The sequence below is a fragment of the Homo sapiens genome, chromosome 6, assembly GCF_000001405.40.
Source record: "Homo sapiens chromosome 6, GRCh38.p14 Primary Assembly".
Taxonomy (NCBI): Eukaryota; Metazoa; Chordata; class Mammalia; order Primates; family Hominidae; genus Homo; species Homo sapiens.
The window spans coordinates 37,545,298-37,572,840 of NC_000006.12; the positions used below are offsets into that span (position 1 = coordinate 37,545,298).

General features: G+C 52.9%; 1 long non-coding RNA gene and 1 other non-coding gene across 2 annotated transcripts, besides 17 other annotated features; both read right to left on the minus strand.

Moving 5' to 3' along the window:
• Positions 322–931: an enhancer, noted in NCBI's record as "H3K4me1 hESC enhancer chr6:37513395-37514004 (GRCh37/hg19 assembly coordinates)". NCBI's record gives its function as "activates a minimal SCP1, AML or CMV promoter by ChIP-STARR-seq in naive and primed H9 embryonic stem cells {active_cell/tissue: H9 hESC(naive and primed)}" and the evidence as "EXISTENCE:reporter gene assay evidence [ECO:0000049][PMID:30033119]".
• LOC124901312 (uncharacterized) lies at positions 1,641–3,951 on the minus strand. Its single transcript, XR_007059567.1, has 3 exons — positions 3,223–3,951; positions 2,486–2,731; positions 1,641–2,409 (listed from the first exon to the last, which is right to left on the minus strand). It is a non-coding gene; the product is annotated as an uncharacterized LOC124901312 (long non-coding RNA).
• Positions 4,478–4,547: an enhancer, noted in NCBI's record as "active region_24465". NCBI's record gives its function as "activates an Ori minimal core promoter by ATAC-STARR-seq in GM12878 lymphoblastoid cells {active_cell/tissue: GM12878}" and the evidence as "EXISTENCE:reporter gene assay evidence [ECO:0000049][PMID:35858748]".
• Positions 4,558–4,617: an enhancer, noted in NCBI's record as "active region_24466". NCBI's record gives its function as "activates an Ori minimal core promoter by ATAC-STARR-seq in GM12878 lymphoblastoid cells {active_cell/tissue: GM12878}" and the evidence as "EXISTENCE:reporter gene assay evidence [ECO:0000049][PMID:35858748]".
• Positions 4,738–4,847: an enhancer, noted in NCBI's record as "active region_24467". NCBI's record gives its function as "activates an Ori minimal core promoter by ATAC-STARR-seq in GM12878 lymphoblastoid cells {active_cell/tissue: GM12878}" and the evidence as "EXISTENCE:reporter gene assay evidence [ECO:0000049][PMID:35858748]".
• Positions 5,833–6,012: an enhancer, noted in NCBI's record as "active region_24468". NCBI's record gives its function as "activates an Ori minimal core promoter by ATAC-STARR-seq in GM12878 lymphoblastoid cells {active_cell/tissue: GM12878}" and the evidence as "EXISTENCE:reporter gene assay evidence [ECO:0000049][PMID:35858748]".
• Positions 8,436–8,730: a silencer, noted in NCBI's record as "tiled region #3834; HepG2 Repressive DNase matched - State 20:ReprD, and K562 Repressive DNase unmatched - State 20:ReprD". NCBI's record gives its function as "represses a minimal TATA promoter and a strong SV40 promoter by Sharpr-MPRA in HepG2 and K562 cells {active_cell/tissue: HepG2 | K562}" and the evidence as "EXISTENCE:reporter gene assay evidence [ECO:0000049][PMID:27701403]".
• Positions 8,436–9,085: a biological region, named in NCBI's record as "Sharpr-MPRA regulatory region 3834".
• Positions 8,585–9,085: an enhancer, noted in NCBI's record as "H3K27ac hESC enhancer chr6:37521658-37522158 (GRCh37/hg19 assembly coordinates)". NCBI's record gives its function as "activates a minimal SCP1, AML or CMV promoter by ChIP-STARR-seq in primed H9 embryonic stem cells {active_cell/tissue: H9 hESC(primed)}" and the evidence as "EXISTENCE:reporter gene assay evidence [ECO:0000049][PMID:30033119]".
• MIR4462 (microRNA 4462) lies at positions 10,068–10,125 on the minus strand. Its single transcript, NR_039669.1, has one exon. It is a non-coding gene; the product is annotated as a microRNA 4462 (primary transcript).
• Positions 10,712–10,801: an enhancer, noted in NCBI's record as "active region_24469". NCBI's record gives its function as "activates an Ori minimal core promoter by ATAC-STARR-seq in GM12878 lymphoblastoid cells {active_cell/tissue: GM12878}" and the evidence as "EXISTENCE:reporter gene assay evidence [ECO:0000049][PMID:35858748]".
• Positions 11,352–11,401: an enhancer, noted in NCBI's record as "active region_24470". NCBI's record gives its function as "activates an Ori minimal core promoter by ATAC-STARR-seq in GM12878 lymphoblastoid cells {active_cell/tissue: GM12878}" and the evidence as "EXISTENCE:reporter gene assay evidence [ECO:0000049][PMID:35858748]".
• Positions 11,512–11,611: an enhancer, noted in NCBI's record as "active region_24471". NCBI's record gives its function as "activates an Ori minimal core promoter by ATAC-STARR-seq in GM12878 lymphoblastoid cells {active_cell/tissue: GM12878}" and the evidence as "EXISTENCE:reporter gene assay evidence [ECO:0000049][PMID:35858748]".
• Positions 11,822–12,031: an enhancer, noted in NCBI's record as "active region_24472". NCBI's record gives its function as "activates an Ori minimal core promoter by ATAC-STARR-seq in GM12878 lymphoblastoid cells {active_cell/tissue: GM12878}" and the evidence as "EXISTENCE:reporter gene assay evidence [ECO:0000049][PMID:35858748]".
• Positions 16,377–16,546: an enhancer, noted in NCBI's record as "active region_24473". NCBI's record gives its function as "activates an Ori minimal core promoter by ATAC-STARR-seq in GM12878 lymphoblastoid cells {active_cell/tissue: GM12878}" and the evidence as "EXISTENCE:reporter gene assay evidence [ECO:0000049][PMID:35858748]".
• Positions 16,867–17,076: an enhancer, noted in NCBI's record as "active region_24474". NCBI's record gives its function as "activates an Ori minimal core promoter by ATAC-STARR-seq in GM12878 lymphoblastoid cells {active_cell/tissue: GM12878}" and the evidence as "EXISTENCE:reporter gene assay evidence [ECO:0000049][PMID:35858748]".
• Positions 17,217–17,396: an enhancer, noted in NCBI's record as "active region_24475". NCBI's record gives its function as "activates an Ori minimal core promoter by ATAC-STARR-seq in GM12878 lymphoblastoid cells {active_cell/tissue: GM12878}" and the evidence as "EXISTENCE:reporter gene assay evidence [ECO:0000049][PMID:35858748]".
• Positions 20,905–21,054: an enhancer, noted in NCBI's record as "active region_24476". NCBI's record gives its function as "activates an Ori minimal core promoter by ATAC-STARR-seq in GM12878 lymphoblastoid cells {active_cell/tissue: GM12878}" and the evidence as "EXISTENCE:reporter gene assay evidence [ECO:0000049][PMID:35858748]".
• Positions 21,185–21,344: a silencer, noted in NCBI's record as "silent region_17142". NCBI's record gives its function as "represses an Ori minimal core promoter by ATAC-STARR-seq in GM12878 lymphoblastoid cells {active_cell/tissue: GM12878}" and the evidence as "EXISTENCE:reporter gene assay evidence [ECO:0000049][PMID:35858748]".

A 27,543-nucleotide genomic window follows, 5' to 3' on the forward strand; every position in this document is an offset into this window, starting at 1 on the left:
TGGAGGCCGGGCTTGAATGCAATGAGGGGACAGAGAGGTTGACACAATGTGCGGCTGGGCTGACTGGGGAACACGGGCTGGCCCTGCGGGGTTTGGGAAGATAGAGGCTGGCAGAGGTGAGTGGTCTAGGCTAGGGGAGGAACTGGCCTGCGAGTTTGCAATTATTTATGCAACAGACACGAAGTGGGCAGCCCCTGAAGCTCAATAAACCCCTGTGTTTTCTGCGTGGAGATGGTCTTTCAGACCCCTACACCACGGGGGCTTCCCTCTGGGGCTCCTAAGAAGGCTGGGCATTGGGGAGCCATCCACACTCCTTCCTGCCCCCTGAAACTGGCGCAAGCTTAAGAAAGCTTCTGGCTGGGGCCAGGGGCAGGACCAGGGAAGAGAGTATGTCCGCAACATAACCTCCATCAGCCCCCACCACCAAGCATGGACTCCATGGCCCTTACCAGGTCTTTCCAGTTTCTACCAGGCCCTTTAATGCTCTATCCTGTGGCCCACCTATTGGCAAGAAGAAAGGAATTTTTGAGTAAATGGAACATCCTTTCCCTCCCTAGAACACCCATGAGGTCAGTCTTGTTCCAGGAGATAAATGAGGTGACTCCCAGGGAGGAGACTCAGCCCCGTCCTCAGGGAGCCGCAGTCTGAGGGGAGCCACAGCCCTGACTCAGGGAGCCCCAGTCTGAGGGGGACACAGCCCTGCCTTCTACAGCAGTGACCACCCTGTCCCAGTGGAGTCCTACGCCAGCCTATCTAGAGGGCTGGAGGCCCTAAAAGAATGGTTGGTGGCCTGAGGCCTGCCCAGGGAGCAGGGTGAAGCCTGACAACGGATCTCTCCATGTCTGTCTCTCCCTCAGGACTGGGGTAGAAAAGGAAGGAAGAATGGAAGGAGGAATAGCGGGAGACAGGACAGCCTCAGCGCAAACTTTCATTTCCTTCCCACCAGAGGTCAGTCCTGACTTTGGCTGTTCTTCTGGGTACCCTCTTCCCTTCCCCCTCACCACCCATGGCCCTTCTCCCCTCATGACAGGTTAGTTACACACCAGGTCCCTCCTCCTCCCCGGGGTGAGGCCTGGAGGCCTTGAGTCAATCCCTTTCCCTGACACCCTGACCCCTCCCCCGCACCCACCGTGTTGCAGGGACTCCAGCAGCTGATGATCATTGAGCCCATAGCCTGTGCCTGGGGCTGTTTGAAACCTTGTCCATGGGATTGTTTAATCCTAACAACAGCACTAGGAGGTGGCTGCTATGATTTTTTTAACAACTAGTAATCAATGAATTAAAATAGTTGACCTAAGCATCTGCAATGGTGACTTCAGCCTTCACTCCTGGGCACATTACTAATGGAAGTAATGAGCTGATAACCTCAGAGGACGGTGCAAGTCAATGAGTCACTTGTGGATTCTTATCTGGAAGACACCCTGCGTCTTAGAACCTGCACCACAAGTTTTTGTTGTTGTTGTTGTTGTTTTTGTTTTGTCTTTTTGTTTTGAGACAAGGTCTTGCTCTGTTGCCCAGGCCGGAGTGCAGTGGCACAATCTCGGCTCACTGCAACCTCCACCTCCTGGGTTCAAGCGATTCTCCCACCTCAGCCTCCTGAGTAGCTGGGACTACAGGTGCGCGCCACCACGCCTGGTTAATTTTTGTATTTTTTTTGTAGAGACGGGGTTTCACCATGTTGGCCAGGCTGGTCTTGAGCTCCTGGGCTCAAGTGGTCCACCCGCCTCGGCCTCCAAAGTGCTAGGATTACAGGCGTGAGTCACAGCGCCCAGCCCACCACAAGTTTTTCTCAGGGTGATTCTCAAAGTCCTGGGAGGCATCAGAATTGGTCCTGTCACTTTTGAGAGTTCTTTCCTTGGGGCCTCTGATCAAGTCAGCACACACCTCCAGGGATTTTTCTTTGCAGCTGGTTAGGGTAATTCTAATTCGGTGATTTGCCACCTCTGGCTCCATGAGTGTTTCTCTGGTGTCCTTAAAAGCCACAGCTGGGCCGGGCGCGGGGGCTCGTGGCTGTAATCCCAGCACTTTGGGAGGCCAAGGTGGGTGGATCACTTGAGGTCAGGGATTCAGGACCAGCCTGGCCAACATGGTGAAACCCTATCTCTACTAAAAATACAAAAATTAGCTGGGCATGTTGGCAGGTGCCTGTAATTCCAGCTACTCAGGAGGCTGAGGCAGGTGAATGGCTTGAAACTGGGAGGTGGAGGTTGCAGTGGGCTGAGATTGTGCCACTGCACTCTGGCCTGGGCAACAGAGCAAGGCTGCGTCTCAAAAAAACAAAACAAAACAAAAAAACACCACAGCTGCAGTGCAGCTTCCTGACCAACTTGTTTCTTGGTGAGTGAACAGCGGTGACTTGCAGCAGGAACTGGCGGACCAGAGCTCCGTAGCACCCATAACCTCATCTTCCTGAAAAAGAGGCTTCTATTATTATCTTCATCGTATAGATGAGGAAACAGAGGCACAGAGAGGCTAAGCGACTTACCCAAGGTTGCAGAGCTGGTAAGCTCTGGAGGTTGAACACAGGCAGTCTGGGCAGAGTGCCTGCTCACTGTCCTGCCTCTCCTTGGAAGTTTGCCAGTTGGATGAGGTGCTGAGGGGAGGCCAAGGCTTGGAGGGATGGAGTTGACGGAAGCAGGAAGGAAGGAACTCGAGCTGGAACTTGTTCTGAGGAGTGTTCGCATATTCTTCTGCTGGAGACTGAGGGGTTGGGGGTTGAGGCTGCTCTGGCCTGGTGTGGACAAGCAGCAGCACAGGTTGTAAATTAACCACCCTCTGAGGCTGGTGGGTCCAACCAGCCTTGCACAGATGGCAGCCCACGATCAGGGCAGAAAAATCTAGCTCAGCTGCATCTGGAGCCAGGGTTAGCCTCCCTTCTGCCCCTCTCCTGGAGGGGAAGACGAGTCATACTGGCTTCAAGTTGCCCTGGGATGGGCCAAGAGGAGTGGACTAATCCTCCTCAGACAGCTCTCTGGCCATTCACCTAGCCCCTACCCCACAGCTGAGTCTGTAGGAGACTAAACCGCCACCCACCCAGATGCCACCATTAGCATCTAGCTAATTTTCATGTACTAGTTTATTTAATCCTCACAACAGCCCTCTGTGGTGGGGACTGTTTTTATCCTTGTTCTACTATAGGTTCAGAGAGGTTGAGTCACTTGTCCAAGGTCACACAGCTCCAGCTAACTCTGGAACCAGTGTTCCTGACCACTAGGCACTTACCTCTGCATCCCGCAGCCTTGTCGAGCCAGTTCACGCAGCTGGGATTGGGCCTCAGGTTTTTCTCTTGAGTCTCCTGGCCCACGTGGGAACAGAGCGCTGAGTTTGGGGTCCTGGCTTTGTGTCCAGCTCTGCACCCTGCTCCCCATCTTGCTCCCCTCAGGGACTGGTTGTGGTGTGTCCTCAGATGTCTGCATCTGGGTCTGCAGGTGCCTGAAACAGCCTGGCATGGTGGTTCAGAGCTTGGGCACTGGACTGCCCATATACCAGCCCTGCTATGTGGTCCTGGGCAAGTTACCTAGCCTCTCTGGGCTTCAGTTTCCATTCCTGCCAGGTGGGGATAATAATCTCTGATGGGGCGGCCCAGGTGTCTGAATTTTTTAATCAGCACCCTAGGTGGATCTGATATCCATGAAAGTCTGAAACCTCTACGGAGGGGAGGGTCATAGAATTTTCTGGATGCTGGTCAGGGGGGAGCAGATCTACTAACCCTAAGATTCTCTGACCTCTCACCCTCTATCCTCAACAGGGCACTAGGATCCCCCTCTCCCCACTGCAGTGCTGGCCTGTGAGTTGAACTTTCCACAATTGCCCAAACCTCTCCTATATGACAAGGAGCCCTCAGCCATTCTGGCCACAGCACCCAGTCCCTCTCCTTAGGAAGCAGGTACAATCCGTCTAACACAGCCTTGCAGGAGGGTGAGTGGGCGTGGGTGTGCGTGTGCATCTCTGTATGTGGGGGTCTGTTTCTGCGTGTGTATCTCTGTGTCTCTGCACCTGTGTGTGTCCCTGTATCTGTGCACACGCCCTCTCAGCAGCAGCGTCTGGTGATGAAGCAGTTGGGGCTGGTGCTTCTGCTGGGAGTGGCGGCAGCTCCCTTCCACAGCTCAGAGCCCTCTTGGCCCCCTGGCTCCCCACATCCCAGGGGCCTGCACACCTGGTTTCTGGCTTCTGAGCCCTCCTAAGCTGAGGCTGCTTTCCCTTAATTATTTCCTGCCTGAGTCCTGGAGCAGCATCTTTAACTATTTACTGCACAGAGTGCAGGCTGAGGCGGCAGAGCTGGGAGCCGCAGAGGCCACTCGAGCGGGCTGAGGTCCTGGAGCAGAGTGGAAGGACCACAGAGTCCACATTTGGGACCTGCCTCCTGTCTGGTATGAGCTGTGTGACTTTGGGGCCCTCCTTGAGCTTCAGTATCATCGTCTTTAAAATGGGGACATTAATAACTATGTCATGGGTTGTTATGAGGAAATGAGAGTTCAGAGCCCATGGTCTCATCGGGGAGATCAAATCATCAAATTATAACACAACGTGCAGTGAGGGCCAAACTGTTAATAATAATCATAAGCGACTTTTACTGAGGGTTTCCTCAGCGTCACACACTGGGCTAAGCACATTACAAGCCCTCACTTGATCCCCGCATCGACCCCATGAGTTGGCCTCTATTATTTCTCTGTTTTACAGATGATGCCACCAAGACCCTGATATGTGAGATGACTTGCCCAAGGTCCCACAGCCAGTAATTTGAATGCAGGCAGTCAAACCAAGGAGGAAGCAGGGAGCAGCTGTGCCTGGATGGGCGAGGGTGGAGGACTGCACAGGTCAGGGAGCTCGTTCTGGCTCCTGCCAGGGGAGTCGGGTGAGAGCAAAGGTCCAGAGACTGTGGGGTAGGGGTGGCCCCGCGTCCCAGTGGGGTGGGCTGTGGCTCCTCATCAGGAGAGACTGGTTGTGGTCCTGAGCATCCCTCGTTGCTGAGGGTAATAAACCTGCCTCTTTACCCCCTCCAAAGAGGCTGTTTTGTTACTCCTCGGTTCTCCCAGCACCATAGCGCTAATAAGCCCCATCTTTATGGCCAACAGCAGACACATTGAGCTGGTTAGGGATGCTCCCTCGCCTGGTGTTTGCCCAGCATCTAAGAGGAGGCCTGGGCCCTATTCTTACTCCTCTGTAGCGGAGCTGAGCGCCTTCTTTCTTTTTTAATAGTTCCACTCCAGGAGCCGAGTCCCCTAGTCTCTTTTCCAATCTTTGGTTACAACACTTTATTAATTCTACAGCCATGCAGTGTGTGAAAGGTCTCCTGGTTCCTGGGAGTGTTGGCTGTGATGACATCATCCTAGAAGTCACTGACTGGATTGGCAATGGGGCTGATGCTGAGTGCCTGGCACGCTATGTGCTGGGCACTGGGCTACACAACGGACACTGAATACTTTCCATAGACAACCCTGCACGATGCATGACCTTGGGCAAGTTACTTGACCTTTGTGGGCCTCAGTTGCCTTGTCAGTAAATTGGGGATAATAATAGGACTCACTTCCCAGGAATAAATGACTTTCTCCAAGTAAAGCAACTTAAAGTATTGATATCTCCACAGACCAAGCCCTATAGAGGCGATGGGGATAAGGCTTGGGGGCTAGAGATCCTGCCCAGGTTTTAGCCACGATTTAAATCCAGGCCTCTCTGGCTCCTAAACTCATCCTTATTTCACCACATTTTGTTGGCATCCAATCCAAGGTCTTCCTTCTCTGGGAAAGGCAAAACCCAGCCCGGAGGGGTGCAAAGCAAAGGCAAAACTCAGCCCGGAGCCACTTCCCCAAGAGCACACAGCAGCAAGCTAGGAGGCCGTGTGGGACAGTGCCCTGCATGGGGAACAGCCACTTCCCCTCTATGGGTCTCAGTTTCCTCACCTGTAGAATGGGTGAAGGGGTTGGTTGGACTTGAAGGGCTCTAAGGCACTGCTGGTTCCATATTTGAGTGGTAGAGCCTGAACTTAAATAACAGAGATTTGTCATGGTAGAAGGAGCCATAAAGCTCAGCCCATTGAAACTGCTGGTCCCAGAGCTCTGCACACTCCACAGACCCACTGTGTTTGGCTTGCAGAGCATTTTTAGAATTTACATTTGAATTTGTTTACACAGGCTGCTGTCTCCGGGTTCCACAGCTGGCTCTGCTCCCTAAAGCCTCACACCAGGTCTCCTTACACCCTTCGCACCCTTATCTCCTTGGTCCCTGATCTGGTTCAAAACTCCTCATTGCTCAGAAACTAATAATTGTTATTGTTATGGAGCTCTTCCTGTGGGTCAGACGCTGTTCTAAGCCCATTCATATGATCTGACTCATCTAACCCTCATAGCATGCCTCTATGCAGGTATCATTATGAGCCCATTTTACAGATGAGGAACACAAGGCTCGGGGCAGTTAAGCAATTTGCCTAACACCCTAGGGCAGGACCAAGGCCAGAGAAGGAGCATAATTTACCAAATTGGCAAAATAGATTATCCTGATTCACTGTGCAGTGCTCTGTGCATAAAACAGCCTCAGCCAGGGCAGGCATTTTTGGGGGGCTCCCTCTGGCCCTGCCCTTTGGGGTATGGTAGAAGGAAGGAGAAGAAAAGTTGTGTCCCCCAGTTCCACACTCTTTCCACCAGACAATAACCACCCTCTACCCCGCCCAGTCTCTCTGGGAGTCCGATATCCTAGCGGCTGCAGAGGATCAAAACAGCGAGTTAAAAGCGAAAACCCGCAGCATTTTCTTCACATTTCCCTCTGCCTCTTGAGGAAGAAGGCGCAAGTGTTTGCAGGAGCTTTCAAGTTCTCAGGAACAGAAATGAAATGCTCTCATGGCTCTTCCTCTACGTTTGAGGCCCTCGGTGCAAAGTGCTATTATTAGCATTGCCTTCAACTATCTTCCAAACAGGCTTCCCCTGGAAGAAGTAATTAAATGCATTATTCTATGCAAAATAAAAGCACGTATCCACATTTGCAGCCTCTGACACCATCCCAAACATTTTGTGATTTTTACAGTTGGGAGGCTTTTCGGTTGCATCCCATCCAAAGAGGGCAATTCGCCCTGGCACAGGGCCCACGGAGGGTAGAGGGCAGGCCCTGGTGAGAGCCTAGCAGTTGGATGAGGTGGTTTGTTTATGAATTTTGAGGCTGGAGATTGGGGCCATGTGAGAAATGGAAGGATTGAAGTATCTGAGCCAGGCAGGGCTGAGCCAAATCCCTTCAGACCAGATGGAGAATGAGGATTGGAGGGGTTGGCCACCAGCCCCCAGGTGACCCAGCCTTGGGAGATGCCCTGTCTCCTCTGAGCTGGGCGATTCCTAGCAAGAAGCCTCCTGTCTGAATCTTGCCTACTGGAGCCAGAAACTGACCTCTCTTCCCTCCCTCCCTCCATCCCTCCCTCCCTCCCTCCCTCCCTTCCTTCCTTCCTTCCTTTCTGACAGAGTTTCACTCTTGTTGCCCAGGCTGGAGTGCAATGGCACGATCTCGGCTCACGGCAACTTCCACCTCCAAGGTTCAAGTGATTCTCCTGCCTCAGCCTCCCGAGTAGCTGGGATTACAGGCATGCGCCACTATGCCCGGCTAATTTTTGTATTTTTAGTAGAGATGGGGTTTCTCCATGTTGGTCAGGGTGGTCTCAAACTCCCAACTTCGGGTGATCCACCTGCCTCGGCCTCCCAAAGTGCTGGGATTACAGGCGTGAGCCACTGTGCCCGGCCTGAACTCCTTTCTTAATTCCTCCCTCTCCTTTAGCCTCCATAGCAAATCTGTTTCCTAGCCTTGCTTGTTTGATTTACTCAACAGTTTCAAATGCATCTGCTTTTCTCCCTGGACGCCAGGGCCTTAGTGTGGTCCCACTGTAACAGGAGAGCAGTGGCTAAGGGCACAAGGCTGTGGGGTAGGAGCTGGGGTCTGAATCTTGGCTTTACTGTTACTTGCACTGTGACCTTGGACTAGGGTTGCTAGATTCAGGAAGTCAAAAATATAAGATGCCCATTTGAATTTAATATGCAGTGTTTGGGATATATTTATGCTTTAAAAAATTCCTTGCTTATCTGAAATTCAAATGTAACTGCTCATTCTGTATTTTATCTGGCAACCCTACCTTGGACAAATTCTTTAACTTCTCAGTTCCCATGTCTATAAAATAGGGATAATAATAGCACCTACTTCAAAGGTGGTTCTGAGGGTTAAATGAGTTAAAAATATAAAATGCTTAGAACAGGATGATAATGACCATCTCACTTAATTAGTGTATTAAGAAGTGCTTCATACTTGAAAAATGCCTTGCAAATGCTATTGATGTGTTATTTTTGCTGTATCTTTCCTCTCCCCTGACTTCATCAGAGGCAGCAAACCAGCAAAGTGTGGGTGAGGGAGAAAGAGGTTAGACCTAAGGGGAATTTCCTGGCAGGAAGGATCAGTCACATCCCTCCTGCACAGGAGCCCCAAAACTTGAAGATGCTGCAGCTGGTGACATGTGGGCTGGGGAGATGGGTGGCAGGGCTGTAGCATGCAGACAGTGACAAGCTCTCTAGGACAATGAGAATGAATGAACTGTGACTACCCGAGCCACAGAGATGAGTCACACAAACACCTCCAGGCTGGCTGAAAGAAGCCAGATACGAAAGAATGCGTACATGGGACTCTATTTTTTTTTTTTTTTTTCGCTCTGTCTCCCAGGCTGGAGTTCAATGGTGCAATCTCGGCTCACTGCAACCTCCGCCTCCTGGGTTCAAGCGATTCTCCTGCCTCAGCCTCACGAGTAGCTGGGACTACAGGTGCGTGCCACCACACCTGGCTAATTTTTGTATTTTTAGTAGAGACGGGGTTTCACTGTGTTGGTGAGGCTGGTCTCAAACTCCTGACCTCGTGATCCACCCACCTTGGCCCCCTAAAGTGTTGGGATTACAGGCATGAGCCACCGCATCCTGCAGGACTCTATTTATATAAAGTTCAGAAACAGGGAAAACTGAAGCACGTTGTTGAGGGAACACACAGAGAAAGGTAGGAAGCGACTGCCTGGGACCTCTGGGGAAGAGAAGGTCAACGGGAAGGGATCCGCAAGCTGCTGGGTGCTGGTGAGGTTCTGGTCTGTGACTGAGGTGGTGGCTACTCTGCTTTGAAATAATGTGTTAATGAAACATTTGTTTCATGCCCTTTTCTGGACGTGAGATTTATTCCACAATGCTAAAAGGTTACAGGAGAGGGAAGAGGGTCACGCTTGGGAAGCACCTAAAGCTCACTTTCTTCCTGGAAGGCACCTGAAGTTCTACCTTCTTCTAGAGAAGGGCCTCCAGGGAAGAGGTGGAAGCCGACCTTTCCGTGCCCCCAAAGTTAGAAAATGAAGCTAGACAGCGGGGCAGCCTGCGTGATGCCGGCCTGAGTCAGACTCATTAAGATTCCTTCTCAATCTACCCTGGGGTCCACAGGGCAAAGAGAAACCTGTGAACCATGCAGGCAACTGGGTTGAGAGAGAAAGATTGGCAGGGAGGGGGGAGAGAGGTGGAGGTGGGGAGGAAGACAGGTGGGGTGGCGGGGAGATGGAATGGGGAAGAGAGAGGGGGAGAGAGGCTGAGGACCCCAGGCCAGTGCGCCAGGTCTGGATTCTTTAGCCAGTCCATTCTAATGACAGCTCTTCAGTGCGCCCCTCCCTGCTTCCCCCCAGGAGCAAGGATAATTACTGGAGATAATGATCACTTAGGGGGCAGGGGGCACTTTTCATTAACCCCAGACCTGGTATCCAACTGCCCTTCCCGAGGAGTCTGCCCCTCACCCCATCCTGCAGGGCCCACTCCTGCTAGCCCCCACCTTGGGCCGTGCCACTGGCAAGTCCCTGTGCCTGTCTTCACCTTAATTCCTGGGTGAGTGACATTTAAGGGCAAGCTCTTCATTGGGCCATAACAATTTACAAGCCAGGCAGTGGTGGGTTGTTCTGAGGCCCGCGGGGAGCGGTGGCCCTTTATCATCTGCCGGGGCGAGGGGGCCAAGTGATGCATGGCTCCTCATTAAAGCCCCACCAACAACACCGGGGAAGTAAAACATTTTAGCAACCCATTCACTTTTCATTTCCCAAGCCACCCTCCGTGTCAGGAAAGCCACTCCTGACTTAGGGCAGCTGGGAAGCACAGAGGCCTTTACGTGTCTTATTTATATCTTCCCGTCCCTCCCTCGGGGCACTGTCTAGGGCAGGAAGCCAGCAGGGCTTCACGCCGCCATCCCCTTCATGCTCCCTGAGCTGCTCCCCATCTCGCCCCTGAGAACAGGCAACCCAGAACCATCTCTTGCTGGGGTTTACAAAGTGCTTTCATTCACCCACCGCATCTTCACTGAGCTCCTCAATCGCTCAAGGTCTGTCAGTAGTAAGTGCAGAGGCTGGATTTGAACTTGGGTATCTGGGGCACATTTAAAGCCAGACCTTCCCACAAAGAGGTGAGACCAAGCAGGGGGAGCTCAGGGGAGGTGACCTAGGGTTGGCCCTGAAGCCAGCAGGGGTGTGGAACGGGGATGCCCAGTGGCCCTCCCTGGGAGACAAGTCATTTTTGCAGGAGAAGGTGGGGTGGGTGGGGAGACGGAGTCACCGTTCTTTCTCATCTCAAGCTTCACTACTGTGAGGCTCTGAGATTTTCTCTTTCCATTTGTGCCTCTCTCTGGCTTGTCCTCTCTCCCCTGTCTTTTCTTTCTCTCCCTCACCACGCCCCTACTTCCTCCTTTTTGTCTGTCTCCATCTCTCGGGCATTTTCTAGAGAAACAACCCGGTGAGCTGGGAAGAGAAAGTGACGTGGCCTTGGCCTGCGAGCACCCAGCTTCACAGCCAGCTGTGCCACCGCCGGCTGAGTCTGGACATCTCTGAGCTTCTTCCGTTTCTCACGTGTAAAATGGGTCTAGGCCTGGCGTGGTGGCTCACGCCTGTAATCTCAGCACTCTCAAATGAGTATGGGACCCTGGAAAGTCCTGGAAGTCTCCTTCTTCTCGAGAACTTTTAACATCAAGAAAAGCCCTGGCTGGGCGCGGTGGCTCACACCTGTAATCCCAGCACTTAGGGAGGCCGAGGCGGGTGGATCACGTGGTCAAGAGATCGAGACCATCCTGGCTAACATGGTGAAACCCCGTCTCTACTAACAATACAAAAATTAGCTGGGTGTGGTGGCGAGTGCCTGTAATCCCAGCTACTCGGGAGGCTGACGCAGGAGAATCGCTTGAACCCGGGAGGCGGAGGTTGCAGTAAACTGAGACTGTGCCACTGCACTCCAGCCTCGGTGACAAGAGCGAAACTCTATCCCCAAAAACATAAAACATAAAAAATAGCTGTCTTTCATTTTCAACAGTGGCTGCAAAGATGAGAAGCCCAGCCCAGAAGAGGTATACAGTGGATGCTGGTACCGGAGGCAGACCTGGCCCACAGTCCGTTACAAATCCAGGCTCCTCTTTCCTCGGTGTGGAGTGTCTGGCTGAGAAGTAGCTGCCCAGCCAGGAACCCCATTTTTCAGAACCCTTTGTGTATATGTGGGGCCGAATTTCTAGTTCTCCCCTATGGACTCTGTGCAAGGCGTGGTGTGCTGCTTTCAGATGGAAGGATGAAGAATTGGTCTTTCCCTGTCTGGCGGCTGCACAAGGAGAAGTCAGAGGTCTTCAAGGGGGCAGAGCCAGAGGAGGGAGGGAGCCAGGGGAGGCCACCCTGACAGCAGTGCTGGCGCTGGACTGTGACTGAGCAGGAAATGAACTTTCACAGGCTGAGCCACTGAGATGGGGCTAGCCTCTTACAGCAGTGGCTTTACCTCTTCTTTTTTCCATCCCTCCCTGGCAACTGTCTTGATCCCCGTCCGGCTGTCCAGGCCTCATGATCTGGAGGGAGGGCGTCCCGTTCCCTCTGACCTAGGCCCTTGCCCTGACTCCACGGTGGGCCAGATGCGACCATCTTGGCCATCAGGCTCAGGGCAGACTGGGGCCTTCTTTCCAGGTGCCAAGCGCAGTCCCCACCTCAGTGGATGCTGACAGGACGCTCTGGTGGCCCAGGAGGTCTTGCTTAGTCATACGATCCTCTGTGGATTAGTGTATGGGGACCCAAGCCACATGGGACTTTAGAAATCCCCCTTTCCCTCAGGAGCACCCGGGGAAAGAGAAGCTACCATCCGTCAGTGCAGTTAGCCTCGGCCCCACATCCTCTCTGACCCTGGCTTTTGTCTTCCGGGGGCTCTGTGGGCCTCCTTGTGCAGCCTCCCCATGGTGCTGGGCTGGGGCCTCCTGCATTTTCATGGTTTCTGTGACCCTGCCTTCTCCCAAGGCCTCCCTTAACCTCTGCCTTGCTTCCCCTGACCTTTCCCTACCTCTCCCTGACTTCTCAGCTCTGTTCCCTGCAGCCCGCTCCAGGTCCTCCCTAGGGGATGCTGTGGCACAGACGCCTATGTCTTCCTCCGAATAGAAGCACAGCCAGAGACTCAAAGAGGTCATCTCCAGGGGTGAGCTTTCTCTTTGCCTCTGTCTTAGCAGAACATGAAGTCCCTGGAGGGAGACCATGGCAAATCGGATAAAAATCTCTCTGTGGCAGATTCACTTTCCTGGGATTAGCCCGACTCTCACGCTGGCCCTCCCCAGATGGACTCTGCCCTGAGTCATTGGTACCTGATGGCAGAGTGGGCGGCAGCTTTCCTCCCCTGATCTTCTCTCCCAGTCCCTGCCTCATCACCCTGAGTCCTCAGCACACTCTCTACCCCTGAGCCCACCCTCTCCCAACTTGAAGCTCCCGATCCTCTGCCACCAAACCATGACCCTGCCCTTCCTTCTGAACTCTGAGTGGCATTAATTGCCTCAAAACATTTCTTAGGCTAATCTCCCAGACTCTGGTCCCTGTACTCTTCTTTTGACAAGGCGAGGGCTCAGCTCCAATTATCCTGAGGCGGTGTTGAGGGGGTGGACATTGGAACAACTCTTCTGCCTCTAATCAGCTACCTGAGCAGCACAGGTGAGTGATTCACCTGAAGATTCTAAGCCAGCAGCATAGCCTCTGCTCTAAGGGACCTCATGCAGGAAACAGACAGACAAGGGCCGTGAAGTATTCTGGTACATGTGGTACTGTGAGGCCCAAAGGAGAATGGCCAGTTTCACTGGGGAGGGGCCGGGCTCAGCAAAAACCTCACTAAGAAGAGGGAGCATGGAGCTAAGTCTTGAAGGATGGCTAGGTGTTCAGTAAATGGAGGAGACAGCGGTGGGGAGGGTGTTTCAGACAGACGGCACAGCCACTGCAAGGCCCTGGAGGGAGCATTGAGTCCCACACATGGAAGGGCCAGAGGGAGGAGATGGGGAACAGACAGGGTGAGAGGGCCTTGCCTCCCTGCTGAGGGGTCTGGCCTTTATCCTGAGGGTGGTGGGAGCTGCTGAGGGAGTTAACCCAAGGAGTGACCTGATCAGATTCGTTGGTTTCCTCTGCCCCGAGGTCTTCTTACTTCTATCCCAACAACTGAGCTAGCCTCCCGCCCCCAGCTCGGGCCGGCACACCGTAGGTGCCCAGCATGAGTGCGTGGACACCACTCGTGTCTCTCACCATTGTCCCTAAAATCAAGCCCACAGTCCATGGAGGCTTGCCCTGCCAGCTCCTGAACAGCCGGCTGACCCACTCCGACGCCGCGGGCTCACCTTGGAGTAGTGCCCAAGCTGGGTGTCGCTTTATGAATTGGGCTGTTTTTGCCACCTGGGCTGGTGTCCCCACTCCCCACCCCATGCCACCCCCACTTTTCCTCTTACCTGGCTCTTTCTCATCTGGAAGGTCTTGGCCACAGTATCACCTACTTGGAGAGACTTTCCTGAGTGTAAAGAAGCCCCCACCGCCAAGATTCTCCCACGATGACGCCCTTTTACTTTGTAGCACCGAACCTGGTTTGTTGTTATATAATTGTGGTTTGTTTGTGGTCTGTCTCCTCCATTAGGCTAAAACCTACAGGGCACATGGCTTTTGTCTTCCACTGTGTCTTGGGGCCTGGCACAGGGTAGGGTACCAGGACCATGTGTTGAAGGAATGAATGAGGCTCAAACCTCTGCTCAGACTCAGGGCTCCTTAAAGATAGGAATCTACCTCCGTTTTCAGCCTGGGCCCCCTTCATCCCCTGCACAGGGCAGGGACTGCTTCCGCCCCTCTCCCCTTTCTCCTAGGGTCCCTTTGCTGCAGGCAGAGCTGGAGCTGGAGCAGAAGTGTGGCTGAGGCCACTGAGGAAGCATTCACAGCTCAGACCTGCAGCCTCCTCCGACCACAGAGCTAATGCTGTGGAGCTGACCACTTGGCACCAGAGATCTCCAGGGAAACCCTGCCAGCGCCCTGAGCTTATGGCCTGGCCTTAAACCTGCACCACTGGCTTCAAAAGTGCCACATCCTCTCCCTATCTTTAAAGATAGCACAGCACCTGCCTTCATGAATCCATTTCAGTGAAAGCGGGGCTTAAAAACCAGAGCTGTACAGCAACATACACACACACCCTAAACACATCCCCACTTCTACCTTCCATCTTTTCTCTTTCTGCATTCATTCCTCTGGCCCAGTCTCTGTGTCTCTGTTCCACTTATTTCTGTCTCTGTCAATCTGTGTCTCTTTCCATCTGCCTCTGTCCCTCGCTGCGTCTCTGCTTCTCTCTGCCACATTTTGTGTTTCTTTTCTGTCTCTGTCCGCTTGTGAGTGTTATTCTACATCTCATGCCCTCTCTGAGTTTTTGTTCATGTCTGCCTTCTCCTGTCACCCCCAAGGGCCCTGAGGTCCCCCCTCCCCTCATTCCTCCCTTCCCCCGTAGCAGCCACCTCTCTGGGTGCCACTAGCTCACGCTTAGCTCTTCAGGCAATCGTAGAAAGAAGAAAGGGAGGAGGATGCTAGCGGGGAGCTTGAAGCAAGTGGTGGGGCAGCAGTGAGAAGTAGAAGTAGCACTGAATAAATACGCAGCTGTCTCTTTTATCTCTTCTTGGCAGGAGGCAGAAGCTGGGGCAGGGGAGGCTCAGACGAATGGGCAGGGAGGGAGATGGATGATGGGGCCCAGAGTGAGACGGGGAGACTCAGGGCAGCCGACAGGACTGAAATGAAGGGGGATGTAAGTTTCCACAACCTCTGGCTCCTGGCAGGAGACTTTCCACCCTGATTACTAGGGACAGGGAATTGTTTAGGAGTCCAGGACACAAAAGGATAAAATAAGGAGACCGTGGGAAGAGCAGTAAGTGTGTGTGTGTGTGTGTGTGTGTGTGTGTGTGTGTGTGCGTGCGCACGCGCGCGCCCTACTCACTAGTCGCTAGTGCTATTTGCTAAATATTTCTGGGTCTCCTCTTCCGAATTGCACTCCCTGGCCCCCTTGTGGTTGGATGGGGCCATATGACCAGTTCTGGCCAATGGGCAGAAGAGAAAGTGTCACTTCCCGGCAGAAGAATGTAATTGCCAATGCAACATCTTCCAGAGGTCTTTCTTTCCCTCTGGCACTATGACCAGCAAGCTTTGAGCTAGTGGCTTCTCCATCAGTCTGGGCCTTGGGGTGATATGATGTGCAGAAGCTGTGACTGGCATGTCGCGTGAGCAAGAAGCAAGCCCTTTGGTTTTAAGCAGTAGAGGTTTTGGAGTTATTTGTTAATGAAGCATAGCCTTGCCTATCCTGACTGATGCAGTATACATGCCTGTGATTGTGTAGGTGTCTGTATGGAGTGTAAAGTGTCCAGGGATGTGTGTTTAAGCATGTGTATGTGCCAATATTTATTTAATACATATAGAAGCACGTGTGTTTAGAGGTTGTGTGTGTGAATACAAGTCTTGGTATTTTTGGTCCACACCCAGCAAATGGTGAAGAAGGAAAGTTTCCCTCTGCTGCTGTCTTACCTCCTGTTTGAGGTAGACACACAAAGGGCCAGATCTTGGGTCCCGCTTGCCTCCTAACCACCCGCCCAGCTTTAATCTCCACGTCTTCTCTTCTTCCTGGCAGCTGCTACCCTCTTCCCTGAGTGTTCCTGGGGTGGCTACTGCTTTTGGCTGCCTGGCACAATTTCCCTCTCTCCTAGCCCCAGGCAGAGTGACTGGTTCTGGGTTAGGTGTGTGGCCAGGGCCAGACCACTCAGACACCTTCCCCAGGATTTTGCTGCTGGAGCAAGCAGGGAAGTGGAGCGCACCTTCCCTTTGGGGTGATAGACACAGGAAGGGGTGAGATGTGCAGCTGTCCTTGCCATGGAGGGATGAGTGGCCAGGCCGAAAGAAGCAGAGCTGAGAGAAAGGAACAAGATGTTTTAGATCCAGTGCCACCTGGTCTCAATAATGACATGGGCCAGTGTGTTTGCTTGCTCTCCAAGGCTGTGGTGGACTTGTCTCTGGGAGGAGGGACAGAAGGGACTTGATCGGGAGGACAGAGGCCCATCCTCTGCTTCCTCCCGAAAAGGCTGCAGAACAGCCTAAAGCCAGGGGGTGGGTCTTTCAGGCCCAGAAAGGGGAGTGTCTCTCTGCCAAGGACCAGGGCAACAGTCCAAAACAGAGACACACAGCCCAGCCCAGGCCTGAGTGGTGGCTGGAGGGTATGGAGGTGTGAGAAGAGACCCCCATAGTCAGAGAGAAGATTCAGAAGCAGTTTCTGGAATGGACTGGGATCCCACCACTGGGGCCGTCCCAAATCTCCCTTAGCCAAAGTTTGGAGCCCAGCAGCCTGGGCTGCAATCTTGCTAAGTGATGTGAGCACCTTATTTAATCCCTGTGCCTCTGTCTCCTCTGTGATGATACTAGTGTAAATTTCACAGCATACTTCTGAGAATTAAATGAACGGATTCACATTAGTGCTCAGAACAGTGCCTAGTATATAGTGAGCAGCTGACATCGGCTATTATGATTTCCTAAACCAATGTGAATTGGGTTTTTGTTACTGGCAACTGAAATGGTCCTGGTTATTAATAATTCTCTCTTCCCAGGCTGATCAGCCAAGAAGCACCTGGTTTCACTACTTCTTTTTCTTCTGGTTCAGAAACAGAAGCAGAAATCCCCTTTAGATTTTCACCGAGTCTTTTGTCCTTCAATGGTAACTTTTACAGAGGGCGGTAAAACAACGCAATGGGAATTCCACTCAAGCAGAAACAACTGCAGAAAGCCTGGGTTGGGGCTTTCTGGGACTTCTATTAGGTGAGAATGTCCCAGGCCAGCTCTCCCCTACCCCTCCCAACCTGGGGTGGTTCTAGGAGGGTGCTGGGGGTCAGGCAGGCCTGGGTGGGAATCCTGGCACTTCTGACTGGCTGTGGGACCCCATGTAAACATACAATCTTATAGAGCCTCAGTTTTCTAATCTATAAAATGGGACTAATAATAATAATAGCTGCTCCATGAGATTTTTCATGACATTGAAGTTAATCTGTATAAAGCTTTCGTCACTGGCACATACTGAAGTTCTCCATAGATGCTGTGGTTGCTAAATCATCCTGGTAAGAGACTCCTCTAGTACGTGCTTTAGAAAGCAGCTCTTCTGGATAGGCGTGGTGGCTCACGCCTGTAATCCCAGCACTTTGGGAGTCCGAAGTAGGCAGATCACTTGAGCTCAGGAGTTCGAGACTAGCCTGGCCAACATGGTGAAACCCTGTCTCTACTAAAAATACAAAAAGTTTAGCCAGGTGTGGTGGCGTGTGCCTGTAGTCCCAGCTACTCTAGAGGCTGAGGCAGGAGAATCACTTGAACCCAGGAGGTGGAGGTTGCAGTGAGCTGAGATCCTGCCACTGCACTCCAGCCTGGGCGATAGAGCGAGACTCCTTCTCAAAAAAAAAAAAAGGGAGAAGAGCAGCTTTTCTAATTGCTACCTGGGCTGAATGTGAGCTTCAGTTCCTCAAACTGGCTAAGGGAGATTTGGGACGGCCCCAGTGGTGGGATCCCAGTCCATTCCAGAAACTGCTTCTGAATCTTCTCTCTGACTATGGGGGTCTTTTCTCACACCTCCATACCCTCCAGCCACCACTCAGGCCTGGGCTGGGCTGTGTGTCTCTGTTTTGGACCGTTGCCCTGGTCCTTGGCAGAGAGACACTCCCCTTTCTGGGCCTGAAAGACCCACCCCCTGGCTTTAGGCTGTTCTGCAGCCTTTTCGGGAGGAAGCAGAGGATGGGCCTCTGTCCTCCCAATCAAGTCCCTTCTGTCCCTCCTCCCAGAGAGCCCTCCACTGCCCCCACACCCCCACCCGCCTCCTCCTCAGCCGGCCTCCAACTCTCACCTCCCTTTCCTCCAGTGTGTCTGCATTCCTTTTCCTGTGTCAAAATCTACTCAAATACTTCCTATCCTAAAAAAGTTCTCCCTCGCCAGGCACAGTGGCTTGCACCTATAATCTCAGCTACTTGGGAGGCTGAGGCAGGAGGCTCGCTTGGGCCCAGGCGTTTGAGGCTACAGTGAGCTATGATTATGATTGTGCCACTGCACTCCAGCCTGGGCAACATAGTGAGATCCTGTCTCTAACAAAACAAACAAAACAAAAAACACTCTCCCTGGGTCCCAGGCATCCAAGTCTTCATATCCTCTCCTGTCTGTCCTATTCTGAGTTCTCAACAGCAAAGCTTCTGTGACCTCCAAGCCCTGAATATGCTCTTGATAAGCTGCCAATGACTAGGCAGGCTTCTCTGTCTTGGAATCCTCCTCCACCAGCACTGTGCTCCCAGGCCGACCTCTGTGACCAGCATGGCCCAGGCTCCCTGTGCCAGGGAGGGCCAACAAAGGGAGAGCCTCACAGAAGATCAGAGAGAGGAGAGTGAAGCCAAGATCTTTATTTTCCTGATGTGCTCCCTGCGGGACTTCAGGGGGCTGGCTCTTTGCTGTGTCTCTCCACACAAGGTTACAGCTCCCGTCCAGCAGGCCCTCCCCATGGCTCTGTCCATGTCCCTTTGGGCCCAGCTCCCCTGTTCCAAGCCCTGGGGCTTCAGCATCTCCTGCTGATGTCCCTGCACCCTGCCCACACCTTTGCACCTGGCCTAAACCTTCATTAAACTCTCTTTGAATCACTCAGTTTAAATATACCTTGAGTTTACTGCCAGACTGGAATTGTTAATAGAGGGTCCAGCACCAAATCCGTGGGAAACACCTGTGTTTTTCTCATTGGTGCTTTCTGCTGTATCTGATCGGCCTCCCTCCTTCAAGAGCCCCTCTATCCTGACCCCACCGCGACACAGTGCTCCACCAGCTTCCTTCTCTCTCTGACAGTTCCTTCTTCGTCTTTCTCTGACCTAGGCCCTTGCTCTATTCTCTCTCCTGGGCAGTCGCCTCTATAGCCCTTGGGATTTCCGCCACTGTGTACATTGCTAGTCCAGCCTTCACCTGTGGAGCTCAGGACAGAATATTCAATTACCTCCTGGAAGTCGATATGGACACCCTCAGGTACCTCAAACGCAGCGTGTTCCAAACTGGGCTTCTTCCCCTAAGCCTGCTCCTCCTCCCATGTAACCTTTCAGAGGGTGGCACTGCAGTTCACCCACACCCAGGCCAGGTACCCAGAAGTCGGCCTTGACTGTGATTTTGCTCACTCTGTCTTCATCCTTTTGGGTGCTGATGCTTGGATGTCCAGAATATTTATTGACTCTCCCTTTCCCCCAACCCAATCCTTACTACTCTGACATGGTTGGTTCCCCATCATCCCACCCCGTGTTCCCCTCCCTGGACTGTGGCAGAAGCTTCCTAACTGACATCCCAGTCTCTGACACCCACTCCAATACATCTCCACATTACAAATCTGAACTGGTGACTCCCCTGCTCAAAACTCTTCAGTGGCTCCCTGTTGCAAGCTTGTTGGATGGTGAACAAGACGCTATGATCTGAGCCCTGCCTCTTTCTCTTGCACCTTCGCCCTGGGACTATAGAGCTGTCTCCACTCCCCTCACACTCCGTGCCTCTCTGCCTTTGCTACACTGTCCCTTCTGCTTGGAATTCTCTCTCTGCCCCCTCCAACCACTGGCCAATCCTGGACAACTTTCACTGCTTCTTAAAGTGGTGTCACTTCTTCCAGACAGAGGCACAGTAGCCAGGTTTTATTTTTGGTTTGTTTGTTTTTAATCTCAAGGGGAATCCGGTATGTGAAGCAGAGGACGGGACTTGGCCATTGTTTGGAGGGGAATCCGGTACCTAAAAAACACCCCCTCCCCACAACACTTACACTACCTTCTCTGCATGCCTTGCGTTCCTCCTTCCTTGCTGTTTTCCCTAACTCTTCAGGACTGAGAATCCCCTGGGTCTGATGGTGGCTACAGCCTTGCAGCTGCCAGACTGGTGTGCTGAGCTAGTCACTTCACCTCTCTGTGCCTCTCTGGCTGGGCTATCTGATTTTCTGTTTCCAGAGGCCCTGGGGTAGGGTAATAAGTGGTTACTAAAAAGAACTGTGAAGGCAAATCTCTGAGGCAGCAGCGCCTGTCTCCGTTGGAGGGCTTGAGTCTGTGTGTCTGGCTTCCAGTGGACACAATGAAACCTTGGGCTTAAGCAAGAGATCTTTTGTTCCTGTCGTGACAGCTCCACCTCCAGACCCCAGCCCTCCCTGAGGCTGCTGCTGCCGGGGCTTGTGCTCCTGCTGTCTCCTCCGCAGCTGTGCGCCACCTGCCTGGGAGATGGAGCTGAGCTGGAGCTGAGGGAGGGGTGCATCTGCCTATGGCGGGGGCTGGGGAGGGGCTGCCGAGCTGTGTCAGGCTGCGACAGGCCCCTCACCCCAGCTGGGCTGGGCAGGTCCCTTGGAGGGCTGCTGGGAGCAGCAGCAGCTTCCTCTGAGAGAGGGTCTTATCTGCTCCAGCACCCGCCACCCCGCCCAGCCCCCATGCTTCCAGGAGTTAGCCTTGCCCTTTCCAGAATAATAGCTTCCCTCCCCGTCTCTCCGCTCCATACCAGCTGGCTCTGGAAAGAAGCTGGCGTCGGGAAGACCCTGAGGATTGGGGGCGGTGGGTGGTGACAGGGAAACGATTTAAAACAGGGCAAGAGGGACAAGCAGAGGGAGTGACGGAGAAGGCGCACACTGGCTCCTGCAGCTCTGGGAGGCGGCCGGGCTTCAAAGACTTGCTCCGATGCTAGGCAAAGCAGCCCAGCAAGAAGCCTTTTTTCTGCCCTTCCTTGGGGAGCAGTTTTCAACCAGGGACTTTATTTAGGAAGGGAAAGAGAGAAGGGGAGTGGGGAGGGGTCACGTGGGCTCCGCTGTCATGGAAACAAACTCTAGGAGGGTGCCGGACAGGCTGCAGCCTGCACCCCCTCCTCGCCCCTCTGCGCCATGCCCCGGCTGTGGGCGCCCCCGCGCGGCCACCATCAGAGCAGCACGCCACCGCCCCGGCTGCACCCAGGGGCCTGGAAGCCCAGCCCTGGGCAGAGGGAGGTCAGGGAAGTGAGGACCCTGATCAATGGGCCCAGCCATTCCTCATCTCTCCACACATCCATCACCCATCCACGCACCGGGGCTCCTTCAGCTTACCCCCTCCATCCTGCCACCTACCAGGGACACTGTCAGTGGTCAGTGGAAGCCTCTGGGTGTCCATCCATTGACGGTTACTTTTCCTCTAGCCCCTTGTGCCCAGGAACCCCTCTTGGCGTACATCCCTCTGTCTTATCTCATTAGGTGCCTGTCCTGCCTCTCCTCTCCTTGCCTATTTAGTAGCGATGCATCTATCAGAACTCCGGAATCAGTCCTTCCAGCTGCCCCTGTGTCTGTTGTCTCTGAAACTCTCTCCCTCCATCAATCTATATGTACCTACCCATCTATTACTCTGGCAGCCACCTATACATCATGCGGGCCCCATTATCCATCATTTATCTGCATATGTATCATTCATGCTTCCACCTATCTATTATCCATAACCTCTCTTGCAGCCTCTTTGATGTCCTGCACTCTGCCATCAGGGTTAACGCTGTCAGGCCTGCTTTCCCCAGCCCCAGAGAACAAAGAGATCAAAGGGACGTGGAAGGAACAGAGAGGCCACTGGGGGATGGTTAAGAGAGCTAGGGGCTCAGAGTTGAAAAGAGAGTGGAAAGACCCAGAGATGTGTCAGATGAAGCTGTTTTGCTGAGAATTCCATTCATTATCTCATTGTCCCTCTTCCCCCACCTCCCAAAAGATCAAGAGGACCTGAGTTTGATTTGCAGCAGGAGAGACACAAGTGGTACTTGTTGGCCGAAAAGGTGGTGCTCTTTGGAGGAAAGGCTGCTTGTGGCTGCAGTGTCTGTATGGAGATGGTCCAGGCTTAGCGAGTCATGGGGCCAGGTAAAGATGGAGATGGAGCTGTAGACTGAGGCCAAGAAGGCCCCCACCACCATGTGCACACGCGCACACACACACACACACACACACATACACTTCCGTGCGCGCTCATGCACGCATGCATTTCTGGGATCACAGAAATTTGCAGTCAGAAACGCTTTCCTTTGACTGAGGAATTCTTACTTAGCCACGGCAGCACAAATCCCTTGTGGGGTTGGTGTCTCGTGTTGCTTTTCTAAGCATCACTCCTCATGTTGTTGCTGATATTGTATAGTTTCCCCTGAGCACGGTTTCCTGGAGGAACTGGTAGACCGTGGCTCCTTTGTGCCTCTGGTTTCCCCACATCCCGTTTCCTGAGTGGAAACCTCTCTCCACGGCCCCCTTCTCTCCCCATGCCCTGCTCATGCTCGCACAAAAGCAGAAGGGCCTGGGGACACACTGGGCATGGCTCTGTCGTGTCCATTTCTGTATCCCAATTATTAGCACAACAGCCAGCAGGAAGGAGGCCTTGTATGAGGCCAGATACAGGGCGGAAACTTCACTCACAGTTCTGCCCTGTCCAAAAGAGACCCGGCAGGGGTCAGATAGCTCCAGCAGTGCCACCTTATCCTCAGGGCACTGCCCTTAGCTCCAGACTCCTGAATGGGCCTATGAAAGATGCTGTCACTTTTGCAACTTTCCTCAAAGGTTCTGGGCAAGGGGACACCTCAGGGCTGTGTTTCCAGGGGAGGCTGATGTGAGGGCCAGGTATTCTGGGGATGGTTTCTCAGCCCACTAACTTCAGACAAGGAGGAGAACACACCTGTTCTTCCTACTGGACAGGAAACCAAACAACTCTGCTTCCTAAGTTGCCTTGGTTTCTGGGGTTATTGGCATCCGAGTTTGCCAGGAGTGGAAGGCCTGGGACAGGAGAGGCAGGGGCTGGCAGGCCTCCCTCTTCACAGCTCCAAGGGTTAAAAAGCACTTAGCAGCAGCATATAATAAAAGCAAATGTAAGAGAAAGAATATCCTAAGGATTTAATAAACTGCAAACAAAATTATCACGATTCTTTTCCTAGCCAGTTGAGTTTTCAGTGATTAAGAAAATACAATTTCCTGTAATTAAATCTTAACAAGAAATGTTATTAAAAACACTCTGTCCCAGCTCCTGTCATAATTGCATGCTCCCCTAGAACAGTAAACAGAATTAGACTTTGCAGCGTACATGCTAATCCATGTGTCATTTTGATCAAATTTGTACTAATAACCTGTCTTCTTATTCTGAGATGAGGAAGGCAGGGAAGAGGGAGCCAGGCCCAGAGGGCAAAACTGAGCCCTGGCTGGGGAGTGGGAGCTGCGAGTGTTGGGTTTGGCCCCCAGGATGATAAGTGTTGAACTTACTGAGCACATATGCACACTGGGCTCTGTGCTAAACAGGTTACACATATAACTTCACATATTCCTTACACAACCTCACATAATGTTGTTATGCTCATTTTACAGACGAGAAGACTGAGGCTCAGAGAGGTTTGGTAACTTGCCCAAGGTCACTCAGAGTCATCTAGATCTAAGGCCCCAGAGTGTGGCTATGGGGCTATTCTAGGGCACGGGCTGTCAGGTGAGAACATTCTCTGTCCTGGAGAACTGGACTGGCCTGACGGTAGCTGGCAGGAAGAACTTCCCTCTGCCAGGATGTGCTGGCCACAGAAGCAAGGGAGACTGTGGCATCCACTTTGAGAAGTTTCTTTTCCTTTGAAAAAAGCCACAGGGTGGGAGAGGACATTGTGGAGGGGCTGAGGGTGAGAGCAGAGGGCTGGGGTTTGTATGGTGCAGGGTTCTGTTCATGGCCCTGGGGTAGACCTGAGATGAGCATTCTAGCACAGTTAAGAGGGATCGGCGTGGGTGTGGAGCCCTGGAGTTCAAAACTGCTGCCCCCACACATGCGTGTGTATGTCAGTGTGTGTGTGAATGTATGTGAGTGCATGAGTATATGTGTGAGCATGTAGGCAAGTGTGTGAGTTCACCACTGACCCTGTGTATGAGTGTGTAAGTGCATGAATGTGTGTGAGTCATTGTGAGCATGTGTGTGAATGCAGGCATAGGAGTGTGTGAATGTGTCTGTGACTGAGTGTGTATGTGAGCACATAACTGGGTGATGTGGTTGTATGCGGATGTCTGTGTGAGTGTGTGACTATGTGTAAAGGTGTGAGAGTGGAAGTGTATGAATTGGGTACATGTCAATGTGTGCATGTGCATGAGTGTGTGACTATAAGGGTGAGCATGTGAGCATGGATGTTAGCATGGGTGTGCCCCTGGAGCCCCAGTCTGCTGGCGCTGATGGAGGGGCAGAGCCAGGCCAGCATGCGGGCCCTGGCTGTTTTCCTACTCACAGCAGCCCCCTCCCCACAGCTTCATTCCCTGCGGAAAGTGAGCCTGAAATTATCCTCAGCTCGCACGCTCCTGCACGCACACAGGCGCCAGTGCCTCCATCTCCCACTCCCGGTCCACTAATTAGCTCTTCTAATTAAATCCCTGCTGGGTTGGACAGGGAGGGCCTTCTCTTTTCCGGATCCTCTGAGGACCAGGTCATGCTGACCTAGAAGGCTCCACCCACTATCCCCATTCCCATTCCACAGCCCCTGCTCCTGCTCAGAGGAGCCTGGATCCAGGGAAGAGACAGAGGAGGAGGGGACCCCTATGGGTAGGAGTCCTGTTCAGCAAACACAAAACACCTACTATGTGCCCAGTACTGTGCAAAGCTTTCTGGGGAAGGAGGTGGAGATGACAAATGGGCAAGACCCAGGGGCTCCCCATTCTGAGCTTCCTTCTCCCAATCACTCTGGCTCCGAACCTTGATCTCATCCTCCACTCTTGTCCCTTCTGGTACCCCCAGGCAGCAACCTGCCGCCTCCACCTTATCTCCTCGCTTCTCTACAGAGAGTTCCTCTTTGACCAGACGGCCTATGCATTGGGCCAGCTGAGCCCTAGATCATTCCTCCTTTATCAAAGTTTTAATCCTCTCTGAGGTCCCGTGCACTCACCTCGCAGCTCTCTTGGGAGCCCTTCCTGACTGCTGCGTTTCCTCCCGTCTGCTGGGGCCAGCTCCGGGCCTTGGCGTATGCCGCCTGCTTCCCTTTTTATAGGCTCCACCTGCCTCACTAAACATCTTTAAGCCTCTGAAATCAGAGGCCGTGTCTTGTGCCTCTTAACCCTTTACTGAGCCCAGCACATTGTGAGTACTCTAAGAATGTCTACGGAGTGACTGACGAACCAGGAAGATGGAGGAGATGGGTTCCTGCACTCCCTGTGCTCGCCCCTGGAGAGCTCCTGTGATATGGAAGAGAATCCCAGGCTCCTGGATCTCAGCGTGGACAAGACTTAGCTGTCACCTTGTCTAACTTCTCCCTTCGAGCAGAGCCTGCCACGGGAATTCTTTGCAAGTGACTTATTGTCTCTCAGTGTGCCTCTTATTGTGTAAGAGTGAAGGGGTCAGGATAGGCCGGGGGCAAGCTGAGCGAGGACGAGGCCTGAGCCGGCGGGAGGCTCTGGACCATGGACAGCATCACAGAGTCGGCCCCTGGAGGCAAGAGGGCGGCTTCTTATTCCCCGCATCAGGCAGTCACCGGCTGCCAGGAGCCGGGGTCGGGGAGGAGCGGAGCCTCTCCAGAATCAGGGCAAGGTGGCTGAGAGCAGTTCTCTAGAAAAGGGGGCTGCTGTGAGCTGTTAGCAGCAGATGCCGATTTTGGGGCCTGGTAAGGGGGTGTGGGCGAGCCCCAAGAGCATCCACCACATCCCCACCCAGAATGTACTTTGTACTAGTCGTGGTTCCTGAGCCTGTCCGAGAAGAGCGGGGAAGAAGGATAGAAGGGTCTCTTGTCTTCAGTGCCAGCCCATGGGGCACCACAAGATGCCACTCAGGAGAGGTTTCGCCTCAATCTTGCACTGAATTATCATCTGTCAAATGCGTGAACACATCCTGTGGCTTAGTCTGTAAGGCTGCTATAATAAAAATCCCATAAACTGGGTAGCTCAATAAGCAACAGAAATTTATTTCTCACAGTCTTGGATGCTGGGAAGTTCAAGATTAAGGCGCCAGCAAATTTGATGTCTGGTGAGGGCCCTCTTCCTCATAGATGGCACCTTCTAGCTATGTCCCCAACTGGAAGAAGGGGCTAGCTAGCTCTCTGGGGTCTCTTTTATAAGGGTACTAATCCCATTTATAAGCGCTCTGCCCTCATGAGCTAATCATCTCCCAAAGACCCCCCCCCTTCTAATACTATCACACTGGCGATTAGCTCTCGACGTATGAATTTAGGGGGGCATACAGACATTCAGACCATAGCACCCTGCTTTCATCATGTTGATATTCACATCTGGGTCAATTCTGTCCCATCACATTGCCTGGCTTCATTTGCCCTCCTCTGACCTTGCATTGGCCCTCATAAAAACGTCCTCCCACCTCCATCCAGCCCCTGCTGCCCTTGCACCATCTGTGCTCACCGTCGCACCTCCCAGCCTCAGCTGCCAGAGGAAGGGTGGCCCCTGACCCCAAGACAGCCAGTTCAGACCTGTGACCTGAGCACATAGACTAGGCAATTGGGTTTCCTCTTTTGAGAGTTTGAATGAAGGATTCCAGAGGAAAGTTGCTGATGGTGGCAGGCTTTGCCCTGACACAGGCTGAGAAGGGCTGGAGACGCTGAAGCTTTGGGGAGGAGAGGCCATGAGTAGGCAGAGTGGAGAGAAGCAATGCTTGGCCTGAGAGAGGAGATCATGGGGTGCAGAGAGGCTGGTGGGCCAGGGGAGCTGTTGCCCACCCAGGGTCTCCGCTGGTTCTAGTGCCCTGAGCACAGCTGCAGGACATCCCTCGGTCCCTGTGAGATGCCCGGAACTTCCTGGAAGAAAGGAACAAAACTTTTGGCTGATATAGCTGATTACCTACCTAGTTACCAATCTAGCGCCATCCCTCCTTCTGCCTTAGCATGCTCTATGAAGAGGACCAATACTCTGGCCTCAGGAGATGAAACTATTGGCTTAAATCAACCAAGGTACTCCCGTCTACCTTTACTAGTGATTGGTTCAAGGGTGGGCATGTGACCCAGTTCCAGCCAATGAGATGCAGGGGGGAACACTGCTGGAGACAGGGAGCCTTCTGGGAATGATTCTCTTCTGTTTCTTTTCTTTTCTTTCTTTCTTTATTTTGAGACAGGGTCTCACTCTGTGGCCTAGGCAGGAGTGCAGTGGCATGATCTCAACTTACTGCAGCCTCGACCTCCTGGGTTCAGGTGATCCTCCCACCTCAGCCTCCCAAGTAGCTGGGACTACAGGCCTGGGCCACCACACCCAGCTAATTTTTGTATTTTTTGTAGAGACAGGGTTTCCCCATGTT